This window comes from Homo sapiens, chromosome 6 (assembly GCF_000001405.40).
Source record: "Homo sapiens chromosome 6, GRCh38.p14 Primary Assembly".
Taxonomy (NCBI): Eukaryota; Metazoa; Chordata; class Mammalia; order Primates; family Hominidae; genus Homo; species Homo sapiens.
In genome coordinates this window covers 5,766,722-5,780,280 of record NC_000006.12, presented here as the reverse complement: position 1 = coordinate 5,780,280, position 13,559 = coordinate 5,766,722, and the positions used below count along the sequence as shown (strand labels likewise).

At 47.1% G+C, this 13,559-nt stretch overlaps 1 protein-coding gene across 12 annotated transcripts in view, besides 1 other annotated feature; it reads right to left on the bottom strand.

Annotated features, from left to right (window-relative positions):
- Window positions 1,574-1,763: an enhancer, noted in NCBI's record as "active region_23914". NCBI's record gives its function as "activates an Ori minimal core promoter by ATAC-STARR-seq in GM12878 lymphoblastoid cells {active_cell/tissue: GM12878}" and the evidence as "EXISTENCE:reporter gene assay evidence [ECO:0000049][PMID:35858748]".
- The window catches only part of FARS2 (phenylalanyl-tRNA synthetase 2, mitochondrial), a 521,650-nt gene continuing 516,788 nt past the window's right edge, over window positions 8,698-13,559 (bottom strand). For all 12 annotated transcript variants that reach the window (XM_047418086.1, NM_001374878.1, NM_001318872.2 and 9 more), the window contains one exon: window positions 8,698-8,990. In XM_047418086.1, the coding sequence (XP_047274042.1) occupies window positions 8,852-8,990 (139 nt within the window). In that variant the 3' untranslated portion in view covers window positions 8,698-8,851. The remainder of the gene's footprint in view (window positions 8,991-13,559) is intronic.

The window sequence follows — 13,559 nt, the reverse complement described above, 5'->3', positions numbered from 1 at the left end:
CAGACACTTTTCAAAAGAAGACATCTATGCGGCCAACAGACACATGAAAAAATGCTCATCATCACTGGCCATCAGAGAAATGCACATCAAAACCACAGTGAGATACCATCTCACACCAGTTAGAATGGCGATCATTAAAAAGTCAGGAAACAACAGGTGCTGGAGAGGATGTGGAGAAACAGGAATGCTTTTACACTGTTGGTGGGACTGTAAACTAGTTCAACCATTGTGGAAGTCAGTGTGGCAATTCCTCAAGGATCTAGAACTAGAAATACCATTTGATCCAGTGATCTCATTACTGGGTATATACCCAAAGGATTACAAATCAAGCTACTATAAAGACACATGCACATGTATGTTTATTGTGGCACTATTCACAATAGCAAAGACTTGGAACCAACCCAAATGTCCATCAGTGATAGACTGGATTAAGAAAATGTGGCACATATACACACTATGGAATACTATGCAGCCATAAAAAAAGGATGAGTTCATGTCCTTTGAAGCGACATGGATGAAGCTGGAAACCATCATTCTGAGCAAACTATCGCAAGGACAGAAAACCAAACACCGCATGTTCTCACTCATAGGTGGGAATTGAACAATAAGAACACTTGGACATAGAGTGGGGAATATCACATACCGGGGCCTGTCGTGGGGTGGGGGGCTGGGGGACAGATAGCATTAGGAGAAATACCTAATGTAAATGACGAGTTAATGGGTGCAGCAAACCAACACGGCACACGTATACCTATGTAACAAACCTGCAAGTTGTGCACATGTACCCTAGAACTTAAAGCATAATAAAAAAGAAAAAAAAAGAAAAAAAAGAAAAATGCTAATTCACTTGTAACATTGTACTGTTAGAAACTAGGAGCTTATTTTATATAATTTATTTAATGCCTTAGCTCATTTTAGCCTCACTACAATCCCATGAGTATGATTAGTACCCTCATTTTCCAAGTGGGGAAACCAAGTCACAGAGCTCTGGGAACTGCTCAAGTTCTCCCAGCTGGTCAGTGGCAGAGCCACAGTTCATGCCTGATGCCCGAGGCATCTAACCTTCAGCAGGGCTTCCGGTTCCTCCCAGGTGGCAGGTTAGATGTGTTACCCAGGGGATGAGGGGCATGTGGGGTGGAGTCAGGCCCTGGTTCAAGGGCGGGTGCTGGTCTCACCCCATCTGAGTGGAACAAGGCAGACGGTGGGGCTGGCGGCCTGAGAGCAGTGGGGAGAGGCTCATGGAGTCTGACTTCCATGGGTGGGAGAGGGGCTTTCTACCAGGAAGCCATGCGCAGCTGCCCTGGCTTTGCTGTGTGGTCACTGGGTGGGAGACAGACTCAGGAAGTACTCATGCCCATCCCGCTGCTCTAGCTCAAGGGACTTTGGGAAGAAGCAGTGTGGATAAACCAGAGGCTCGACCCTCAGCACTGGGGTCTCACCCTTTCCCTTGCCTCTCTGTGCTGTTGAGTCCACCCTCTCTGTTCCCAGGATGCTGCCCAGCTGGGCAATGTCAGCAGCCTCTGACGCTCCGAGGAAACCACCAACAGTTGGGGCCACATGGCCTCATTGTTTCTCTCCCTTTGACCTTTGCAGGCCTGGCTTGCACCCTAGACACCTCCAGCTCCACCCTTCAGCTTCATCCATGTAGCTGTCACTCGCCTGGAGAGAGCTCCATGCCCCAGGTGTTCCGTCAACTCAAGGCTGACCCTGTCCCCAGAGCCCTTTCAGACCCACTTCTCTGTCCATCTCTTCTGGAAAATTTGCTCCCTCGGCCCTGAGCTGCCATCTCCACTTAGGAGCTGCGCTGCTCATTTGGTTGTGAGATGTGGCAAGTCATTTTCTTCTTCTATTGTGGTATAATTTGCATATGGTGAAAGGCATAGATCTTAAAGTCTAGAGTTTGATGAGTTTGGACAAATGCATTCATCTGTGTAACCCACGCTCCTATGAAGACAAGAACATTTCTGGTCAGGTGTGGTAGCTCATGCCTGTAATCCTAACACTTTGGGAGGCTGAGGGAGAATTGCTGGAAGCCAGGAGTTTGAGACCAGCCTGAGCAACATAGTAAGACCCTGTTTCTTAGAGGAAAAAAAAAAAAAAAGAGAGAGAGAGAGAGAGAGAGAGAGAGAGAGAGAGAGAGAGATAGAGAGAATTGCTATTTGGGAATCTGGGCAGCCTCACCAAAAAAAAAAAAAAAAAAAAAAAAAAAGATAGAGAACATTTCCCATCACCTGAAAATTTCCCTCGTTCCCCTTTACAGTAAATCCCTTTCCAGCCCCAGACGACCTCTGATCTGTTTCTGTCACTGGAGATTAGGTTTATCTCTTCTGTAACTTCATAAATGCATTTCCCTGCTCACAAATAATGTTGAGTATCTTTTCATCTTACTGGTCATCTATAATCTTTTTGTGAAGTATTTTTTCAAGTCTGCCCATTTTTTCAAAATGGTTTTAAAAAACATTATTATCAAGTTGTGGGAATTCTTTGTATATTCCGGATATAAGTCAAATATATGTGTTACAAATATTTTTTCCCAATCTGTGGTTTCCCTGTTCATTTTCTCAATAACATATTTCAAAAAGCAGAAGTTTTAAATATTGAAAAAGTTCAGTGTATCATCTTTTTCTTTACTAATGTTTTCTGTGTCCTTTCTAAAATATCTTTGCCTATCCAAGGTCAAAAAGATGGTCCCATATGTCTTTTTCGTTAAGCTATTAGGTAGTAAGTTTTTGGCTTTTGTATTTAGGTCTGTGTGCCAACTCGAATTAATTTTGTGTGAAGTAGGGTGTCGAGATTTTTCTTTCTTTCCTTATATGAATAACCCGTTGCTCCACCACCATTTGTTGAAAATGCCTTCCTTTCTCTATAGGACTGCTTTGGCATCCTAGTTATTTCTTAATAATAAAGTATAGATGGCATCAAATGATTCACTCTTGATACATTAGCAGCTGTTTAAAAATAGATGTCAAAGTTTCCTTTATACTAATGTCAAGCTCATACGTGTGCATTGTGACGTCCTTTTTTGATAGGGAGAGCAGGGGCAAGTTGTACTCTGCAAACAGCCGTGGATGCACCTGTGTCCTGCATGTGAGCTTCTAACAGCTGAGGGTGCTGCAGGAACCACGGGCCGGGAAGTGTTGCTCTGGAAAGCGTAACACACTGATTTCCTTTTCAGATGCAACCTTGTGTAACCAGTTCCAAGAGCCCACCTTGATTTCTCATGTTGAACTCAACATTCTCTCTGTTGTTTTGCATGTGAGAGCGTGCTATGTCCTTCCTAAGGCTTAGATCCAGAATAGACAAAGACACACTTCACTTGGGGAGGGAAGGCCGTGGAGGGCAATGCACTGCTCGTATTCATCGCGTTCCCATCTGTTTTCCATGCTTGGCAGACATATGGCACAGAAGGAAGGCTGTGGCCTTTAGTCTCATGGAGAAGGGGCCTTAAATTCTATCTTGAAAACCCACTGAGGACTCAGGCCTGGTCCTCGGGCCTCATGTTCTCAATTCCCAAGTAGACATATGCTGGCTACCTTTTGTGGAGTTTTTGTGAGCCTAAAATGAGATGCATCAAGTTTTACACACACGATTTCCCTACTCCTTGCTGAGCCATTCATACTAGGGCCAGAGATTATAACCTCCGTTTTAGGGTTGAGGAAATGCAGGCTCAGGGATGTTAATGACTCATCTATGGCAGAGCTGGGTTTAGACCCCCAGCGTGGTCTTGGGCTTGGTCCAGGGCTCCGAGGAGCGTTCCTGCTCCACTCTCCTCCTGAGCAAAGCCCATGAGCTTGGAAATGGGCTAGAGAAAGAACCAGGGCAGGATGGTCTCATCCACATTGCTGGCATCACCTGTGGCCCCCGCCTTTGAATAGGGCACTGGCTGTGTTTTTTTGTTCGTTCGTTTGTTTGCTTTTTTGACTTTCTAAGCAATGATGCATTTTTGGGTACAGAAGCCACTTAGAAAACTCAGAGTCAGCATACTTTGGAGTGATTGCTGAGATCAGGAATAAGCACATTCCCTCCCTCTCGCTGGCCCACTTCCTGGGCGCTAGGATACACCCTCCTGGGGACACCATCATCCTTGAAGGATCCTAAGATTGCTCAGTTCAGAGTTTCCTCTATTCCTCAGGACATCTGATTTGGCATCCTGAAGCCACTGCGGTTGCAAGTGTAAAGCTATTGACAACTTTGAGCATCTGAGGATAAAGTGGGGCTTCTAACCGTTTTGACCTAGAGCCCATAGCTGATCCCAAGGGCCCACGTTCCATGACCAAGCACCTTATGAAAGGGTCCCATGGTTTGTTTGTGGCTACCACTGTTGCCTTGAAAGTTGAAGCTCCATGCAGTGGATGTCACCACCATGGTGGTGGCCCACCTGCCTTTGCCCTGGTCCAGAGTGAATTCCTAGCTCCGGCCATAGGTGTGCCTGGGCAAGTGCGCAGGGGGAGTCGGGGGCAAGGTGACGAGCACAGACTTGGATGTGAGGAGGCCTTAAGTTTTGACTTTGCAATGGCTCCTGGAACACGTTAACCTTTCACTTGGAGAATGGGAAGCATGGGGCCTGCTGGAGGCGGTGGAATGAGACCATGAGCGTGGACTCCACGAGGGCTGGGCCTTGTCTGCCCTGCTCATGGCTCTATCTCTCCCACATAAGACAGCAGCTCCACTCTCTATGGGACTGAGACTGCGGGGTGCTGCACCTGCACACTACAAACGTCAGCTGCCACCGCCCCCCACATCCCTGTTACTAGTGATGGCAGTGCCCCACCTTCCTGCAGATTGGAAGAGCGCAGACAGCCCAGGCCAGGAGCTGCTAAGTGCTCCTCAAGTCATCATGGCCAGTGGGTAGCATGGAGAGCTCCTGGCGTGAGAACCAAAGACACACATGTGCCTAGTGGGGAGTCTGGTAAGCAGGGCCGGCTGGGGGGGCATTCGGAGGCCACCACACAGAGTTCACTCACTTGTTGTTTCCTAGATAGGAAAAAAATTGAACTTCCAGTGTTGAGGGGCTTCCTTTCCCATTTCTTGGCTGCCTGACCACCAGCCACCGCTGGGAGCATCAAGACCCTGTTCAGCTTTGCTGACTTGTTCAGGACCTGGGCAAAGCCAGGAGCAGAGCAACCTGGGGAGGGGACAAAGACACAAATGGCTGTTGAGCCCGCAAGGCCCTCTGCTCCACCCGAGGCTCCAGATGGTCACATAATTTATTCCCACGACATTCCCAATTGCTAATGCCTGCTGGCCCCAGTCTTGCTGGCGTCTGTAGAGGCCTATCATAGGGACAGGTAACACATGTGCTAGAAGGATCCTTGATCCACAGCTCCAGGATATGGGCTTCTAGACCATCCTTACAAGGAGGGAAACTCTCTACGTAAGGTTGTCTTCTCACATCAACATGTCTCAAAGCACCAGACAACAGGGCTGCAGGGAAACTTCTCCAAAAGACCATGGAATTGTAAGAGTCAAGCCCAAGGGCCCTTTAGGAAGGCCTCTCCAGCATTTCCCGAGGTGCTGCAGCCCTGGCCCGACCTGTCCTGACCCCCGTGGTGGCCTTCCACCTAAAGACACCTCAGGATCTCTGCTTCAATGTGGTGTTTGGAAAAATGCTCTGGGAACCCCAGTTTGAGGCCCAGCTCTACAATACTTCACTGTTACTGTGCCCTTGGGTAAGTCACTTGTCTCTTTGTACTTCAGTGTCCTCGGGTATAGACCGGGGGGACATGTGGATGCCCTGTGGGATCTGTTCCAGTTTGGATGGTTCACACTTCCATTGTTTTCTCCCTGAATAATGATCAGAGCAGTGACCCTTCTTGATGGCTTATCAGGTGCTGGGTTCTGCGGCAAGTGCAGTATGCGATGTCTTACACAGCCCTCACCACAGCCTCTGCAGTGGGCGATATTATCATCCCCATTTGACAAAGGAGGAAACTGGGCCTCCTGGAGGGTCATAGCCATAGTGCTGGTATTGGTCACCAGGCTGTCCTTCCTTTGGGAATCATGTGTTTCTTGAACTGCAAAGTGACTTCATCTAATGGATTAATTTACCTTTCTTTTCCTCGTTCATTATTTATTCTCCTGTAGAAGTCACATGAAAAAGTCAAGAGCTGGATGTCCCCTTGGCTCTTTGGTGGTAGGGAAGGCTCACTTTTGGCACAAGTGCTGGTCGGTCAGAGTGGACCCTGAGGGGGTTCTGCACAAGCCCTCGTAGAAACAGAACGAAGGTCTAGGGAGCAGGAGAGAGGCACAGACCTTACAGTCAACCCACTACTGTTTACACATTTTTTTTTTTTTTTTTTTTTTTTTAGACAGGGTCTTGCTTTGTTGCTCAGGCTGGAGTGCAGTGGCACGATCATGGCTCACTGCAGCCTCCTGGGCTCAATCAATCCTCCCACATTGGCCTCCCAAGTAGCTGGGACTACAGGGGCATGCCACCATGTCCAGCTGGTTTTTAAAATTTTTTGTAAAGGTAGGGTCTCACTATGTTGCCCAGGCTGCAGACAGACATTCTTAATGTGGAGGCCGTGGACTTGAGTGTGAGGCCTGCCACCTCCTGTGTATGTATCTTGAGTCACAGACAAGGGAACAGAGGCCTGAAGAAGTCATAGCTTAAGTCATGGCCAACTCCTGTGACTTCTTCAGTCCTCTGTTCCCTCACTTGTAAGATTTAAGTAACAGTCAATTACACCTCATGGAGTGTTGAGGGGAATGTTCAAGAAAGGCCTCTGTGAACCCTTTGGAAAGTCAGCCCTACCCCAGGACCTTAATATAGGGTTTGGCACAAATACAGCGTCACATAACAATGTTTCAGTCAACAACAGATGGCATAGGGGACAGTGATAATACAGTATTTTTGCTATAACTTTTCAGTTTAGAGACACAAATAACATTTGCTACAAGTGCCTATAGTATTCAGCACAGTGACATGCTGTGTTACTCTGTTCTTGCATTGCTATAAAGAAATACATGAGACTGGGCAATTTATAGAGAAAAGAGGTTTAACTGGCTCACAGTTCCGCAGGCTGTACAGGAAGCACGGCAGCTTCTGCTTCTGGGGAGGCCTCAGGGAGCCTTTCCTCATGGCGGAAGGCAAAGCGGAGGCAGGCGTCTCACATGGCAGGAGCAGGACCAAGAGGGTGGCGGGGAGGGAGGGACTATACATTTTTAAGCAACCTGATCTCATGAGAACTCACTATCATGGAACAGCACTGAGCGTATGGTGCTAAACCATGCATGAGAAGCTGATCTCCATGATCTAATCACCTCCCACTAGGCCCCTCGTCCAACACTGGGGCTTACATTTAATCATGAGATTTGGGTGGGGACACGGATTCAAACCATACCACATGCTGTGCAGGTCTGTAGCCTCTCGCCTGCAGCCTCTAGCAATAGGCTACGCCGTGTAGCCTAGGGGTGTAGTATGCTATACTGTTTAGGTTTGTATGAGTACACTCCATGGTGTTTACACAATGACAAAATCCCCTATGATGCATTTCTCAGAATGTTTCGCTGTCCTTAAGTGACGCGTGACTGTATTTGACAAATATTGCTCAGATTCTGGGCCACAGGACAGCATCATGGTTTTGCATTTTATACACCTTGCTGGCTTTCTTAAAGAACATTAATAAGTGCCTAACCAGTCAGGGGGATAAAGGGACATCTTGAAGTGCAGCCCAAGGCTGAATCAGAAATGGCCTGCTGGCAAATGCTACTGAAGAGGAAATCAGTGATCACATTGTGCCTTCCCACTCAGATCCATCCACTTGGGGAATTGTACCCGTGGGCCCTAAGACCCCAGAAAGCGGTTTGGTTCTAGGATTGGGTGTGGGACTTGGGGTATGGCTTCCTTAATTCCCTTAAAAATCCAAGGGAAGAGTCCTAATTAATCACATGGTAAGATGACATTAAAGCTGTTCCTTCCCTTAGGAAAGCAGCTGCCCACCCCCACGCCGCTAGCTGATACTGGCCACTCCTCATCAAATATTTATCCCAGCACTTGCAGCCCTCCATCAGCCTCTAGCATCATGCCAGGGATGGAAGCTGATTATTAAAACTGGTCATGAATGAGGCAGGCAGACTACAAAGTGCCTGGGATGGAAAGGGGGGAACATCAAAGCCCCATATTCTTCCCTAAAGGTCGCCTTCTGGAAGTGGAGGCTGCCTGCTGGGAAAACTTGAAGGGAGTTTGAGGACCTGGCCCCTCTGTGTGCCTCCAAGACTCTGGGGCAGCTCTCGCCCCTTTCCTTCCTCTCCAGTGGGGCAGAAGGCAGCTAAGCCCAAGTCCTGGGGCCAGAGGCCTGACTCCAAGCCATGGGTTTATGAAAAGCAAATAGATATCCTGCCCTGGCTGAAAGACGCACCTCCCTTCACATTGGACGAGAGCCCTGGCATTTCATTAGTGCCCTCTTTGAAGCCTGCCCTTTGCAAAACTGAAAAAGAAGAGAAGGGAGGAAGGAATGGAAGCTGATTCAAAAAGCTTCCTGTATTGTATCTGGAATTTCTGATGTCCCTCTGTGTGGCTTCACTCATTACCTGAGTGGAAGAGCCTGTCAGGCAAGAAATCATGCCTGGTGCTTAATGGAACCCAGGGACCAATTAACCATACTAAGCACCAATGCCAGTGGGCAAAGCACTTCTAAAAGGAATAGGAAAAGACCTTCCTCCTTTCCCCAAATAAAAGACAAATGCTATGTCAACAGCTTTTCAAGAGCGATCTTTTATTTTCTGAAAGTCCTAAAACTGATCCATTTATCAAAAGATGATTGATGCCCCAGTTCACAAACCATATCTTTTTCTCTTTCAGCAAATCCTGGAGCCCCAAGAGGGCTGCAGCCTGAGTGAAGTGGTGACATCAGAACCTGCCCTCCACACCCAACAGCTGGACTGCAGCCTCCTGCAAGGCCTGGTGGATGTGCCTGACCTCTCTCTGGGACAGAGTCCGTTCCATGTGGCGGTACGTGATGCGGTAGCAGTGGCTGGTCTTGTGCGTCCTACAGAGAGGAAGAGAACACAGGTGAGTGCGGGATGAACAAGGCTGTGCCTGAAGGAGCAGTGTGGCTTGCCCTGGCCAGATCTCCCCAACTGCAGTGGAGAACTGAGGTTGGAATCCAGGTACCATTTACCGCTAACAATCTGCATCTTATACAGGGGGAGAAGGTGACAGTCAGGGAAACATTCGCTTGACTAAAGGAGGCTGCTGGTTTCCACTGGGGTGGATGTATCAAAGTCCCCTGGGAAGGAAGCTGACAAATTTGATTTCCCAGGCCACGCTCTGGAGATTTGGATTCAGCAGGTGGGAGGTGGGACCTGGGCTTCTAAGCCTGTCCCCGGTTCCCGACGTGATTCTAACAAGCAGACAGGGTCAGGGGTCAACCCGCGTGTGCCTCCTTCATGTCATGGAAGGTAACCGTGTTTGTGAGGCAAACTGAAGTATCAGCAAGGCTCCAGGCAAGGCTGAGGGACTCACTCCCTCGGCACCCCTGTTGGCTGTCCAGGAAGCATACAGGCCATATATGCCGTGTATGTGCTGTGTAGAGAATTACTTTAGTCTCTCCTTTATGACATTGGTGTTGACTTGGCTTGCATAGAACAGCTGAGTAATTCTGGAATACGTGGAGATGACAGCAGTAGGGCCTTCTATTTGCATGGCAGGTGCTAAGACACACTGGTCAGTTGATCTCATGAGAAAGACCCCTGGGCCATGAACTGGCAGGCCTGGCCCTGTCCCCAACATGTCTCTCACTGGCTGTGTGGCTGGGTGTCTGACATCTCACCATCTCTGAATGCTCACATTTCTCTTCTTCTATACAATAAGGGGATCTGGTCACACAAATTCCTCTTTTCCAACCCCCAGCAGCAGCAGCAGCAGCAGCAGCAGCAACAACAACAGAGGCAACCCAATCCCTTCTTGGCCTTGGGGGAGGAAACTGAAACAAATTGAGGGCTCCCAGGCAGATTCCTTTTATGATGCCGTCAACCAGCCCTTAGCCTAGCCAGGGAGAGGCCACGTGCTTTCTGGCAGGTGAGACAGGGCTGGGCCTTCAGTAATACCAGGGCCTTGAACAAATGGGCTTCTGATTGAGCTGGACCTAGGCCACTCCCACATATTCACTGGAAACTGGTAGTCCCATTGATGCCACCTGAGTCCAGAGCCTTTGCTTCCAGGGTCCTCCCGACACTTCATGGATTGGTCTCACTGGATTCTCTCCTCTTTCCTCTCCCTCTCCCTCATCTGAATGCCAGAGCCCTTGGCTGGGCAGAATATGCCTGGTGCATGAGAGTCTGCCTTGGTCCTGGCCTCCCTAGTCTGCCCCTTCACCTCCCCTTCCAGTGTCTCCTCCCCTCTCTCCCACCCTGGCTTGGTCATCTTTGTCCTGCTTTTGTCCTTCCACTTTCAGGGAAGATAAGCTGCTATGCTGTGCCTCACAGGGTTATGTGCATTTTGGCCACATATGCAGCCCCCGTTTGGATCAAGCCACAGGAGGAAGTTACCACTGAAGGGCTGTGATAAACAAGCTGGGCTGGGGGTGGAAGTTTTCTGTAGGGACCTCCTGGGGATTCCCGATAGCACATGGAGGCCTGCCCCATTCCCTCACCCAATGTCAGCTGCCTGCTTTAGACCAAGGGAGAAATCAAATCCTCTCCCCACCTGGCTCTTTCTTTTTCAGTCCAGCTCAGGCCAATGGCTCTGCTCTGTGGACATTCCTCTGGGGTGGGGACCCTGACTCCTGGGGGAGGCACTGCTGCCCAAACTGCCCCAAGGACCTCCCACAAAGTAGAGTGGTCTTTTCTCCTCACTTTGTGCTCCGAACAACAGTACTCCAGGTACCATGCCCACCCAAGCCTTTCAGGCACCAAAACGCAGCGAGACAGAAAAACCTGGCTTTGAGAGGAAAACAGAGGCTCTCCAGGAGTGGGAGCTTATGAAACTACATAGCCAAGACCCCTGCTGCCACCAAGTGCTGACCCATTCCATTCAAACTACAATTGCTCCATTTACAGTTATTTGGTTTTTGACAAGAGCACCAAGACTATCCAAGGGGGAAATGTCTTTTCAACAATTGATACTGAGACAACTGGATATCCACATGCAAAAGAATGAAGCTGAATCCCTACCTCACACCACACACACACAAACTAACTCAAAATATATCATATATCTCAATATAAGAGCTGAAACTATTATCACTCTTAGAAGAAAACAGATGAGTAAATATTCATGACCGCATAGGCAAAACCTCCTTAGATGACACCAAAAGCACAGGTGAAAAAATTAAAAAAAATGATAAACTTGGAATTCATCAAAATTAGGCATTTTTTTTAATTCAAGGCATACAATCAAGAAAGTCAAAAAGGAACACACAGAATGGGAGAAGATATTTGCAAGTCATATACCTGATAAGGGATTTGTATCTAGAATATACAAAGAACTCTTACAACTCAACGATAAAATAGCCAACAACATAGTAAAACAAATGTACCAAAGATCTGAATAGACATTTCTGCAAAGATAAACAAATGGCCAACAAGCACATGAAAAAATGTTCAACTTCAGCCATCAGGGAAATGCAAATCAAAACCACCATGAGATACCACTTCAGGCCCATTAGGATGCTCATTTTAAAAACAAAAGGAAAATAACAAGTATTGGAGAAGATATGGAGAAATCAGGGCCTGTTTAGAAATTGACAGGACTCTGCAAATTATAAAGTGCTAATTGGGTGTGAGGTGAAAGTATCATTGTGGCAATTATTATCACATTGTGTTTTTTCACTGTTTCACTCTGGTCCCTCCTAGCAGAAGAGCTGGTAATATGGCACCTCTAAAAGTTATTGCCAATTGAAGATGGATGGGGAAAAATCTGTTTTCCTATTTCTATGTGCTCAGAAAAAGGCCTCTATAAGGATTCTTGGGATTCAAACAACTTATACAGAGCATTTTGATGAATTAGGTGTAAATGATTCATAAATACATGGATTATGAGATAAATACTCATAATATATAGATATGAGAGAAATACTATTTAGCAGAATGTTTGTTTGGTGATTCTGTTGAATTCAATAGAATCAAGTGAAAGTCAACCAGGTTTGCCTTTTCCTAACATGAATGATGACAGAGAAGGCTTCATTTTCTAGAAACTTCTGTGTGTAGCTTTCAGATGACAGGACATACTCCTGTCTTCCTTTTTCATGTTGGAGAGCTGAAAGAATGGAGCTGGCAAGTGGTCAGGAGTGGAGGACCCTGGTCCCTCATTCTTGAAGAGTGGTCTCCCGAGGAAAGCCACAGGCACATGGAGCTGAAGGTTCTTGGAGCTCATCAGTGAACAGATAAGAAAATTGATTCCTCAAGTGAAAGATGCCCTCAGCAACCAACTCCAAGTGTCTGGATTCTAGTTCTGCTGGTTCTTTTATATCACCCAATGCAGCCTCTTTTAGCCCAAACCCTTTTCAGTCTTCCATCTGCCATGACCTACACTGTCTCTCAGTAACAGCGCAGCAGCAGCAAACATTTATGCACCAGTTTTGTACACCCGTTACTGTTCTGAGGCATTCACATACACCACCTCTTTTAAGTATCATAACCCCATTGAGTAAACAGCATTACTGACCCATTATACAGATGAGGAAACTGAGGCACAAAGACCATAAGTAACTTACCTATGCTCACACAGCTAACAAGTAAGTGGCAGGGCTGGATTCAAAACTAAGCAATCTGGTGGGAATGTAAAATAGTACAAACCACAGTATGGTGGTTCCTCAAAAAGTTAAACACAGAATTACCATATAATCCAGCAATTCTACTCCTAGGAATATATCCTAGAGAATTGATAGCATGTGTTGAAACAAAAACCTGTCCAAGAATGTTCATAGCAGTATTATTCACAATTGCCAAAAGATGAAAATGTCCACTAATATCTGGATGGATTGGCCGGGCGCGGTGGCTCATGCCTGTAATCCCAGCACTTTGGGAGGCCAAGACGGGTGGATCACTTGAGGTCAGGAGTTTGAGACCAGCCTGGCCAACATGGTGAAACCCCGTCTCTACTAAAAATACAAAAATTAGCCAGGTGTGGTGGAGGGCGCCTGTAATTCCAGCTACTTGGGAGGCTGAGGCACAAGAATGGCTTGAATCTGGGAGGTGGAGGTTGCAGTGAGTGGAGATCGCCCCACTGCACTCCAGCCTGGGCAATAGAGTGAGACTCAGTCTGAAAAAAAAATTTTTTTTGGATGGATTAACAAAATGTGGTATATCCACACAATGGAATATTATTTAGCCATAAAAAGGAATGAAGTACTGATACATGGATGGATACTAGATGGAATGTGGATGAACCTCAAGAACAGAAGTGAAGAAAGCCAGATGCAATAGAACACATATTGTACAATTCCATTTACAGAAGATATCCAGAAAAGGGGAATCTATAGAGATAGAAGGCAGACTGATGGTTACCAGGGGTCATAGGGGAGACTGCTTCATAGGGATATGGTTTTCCTTTGGGGTAATGACATATTTTACAACTAGATAGAGGTGATGGTTGCACAACACTGTTCTCATACTAA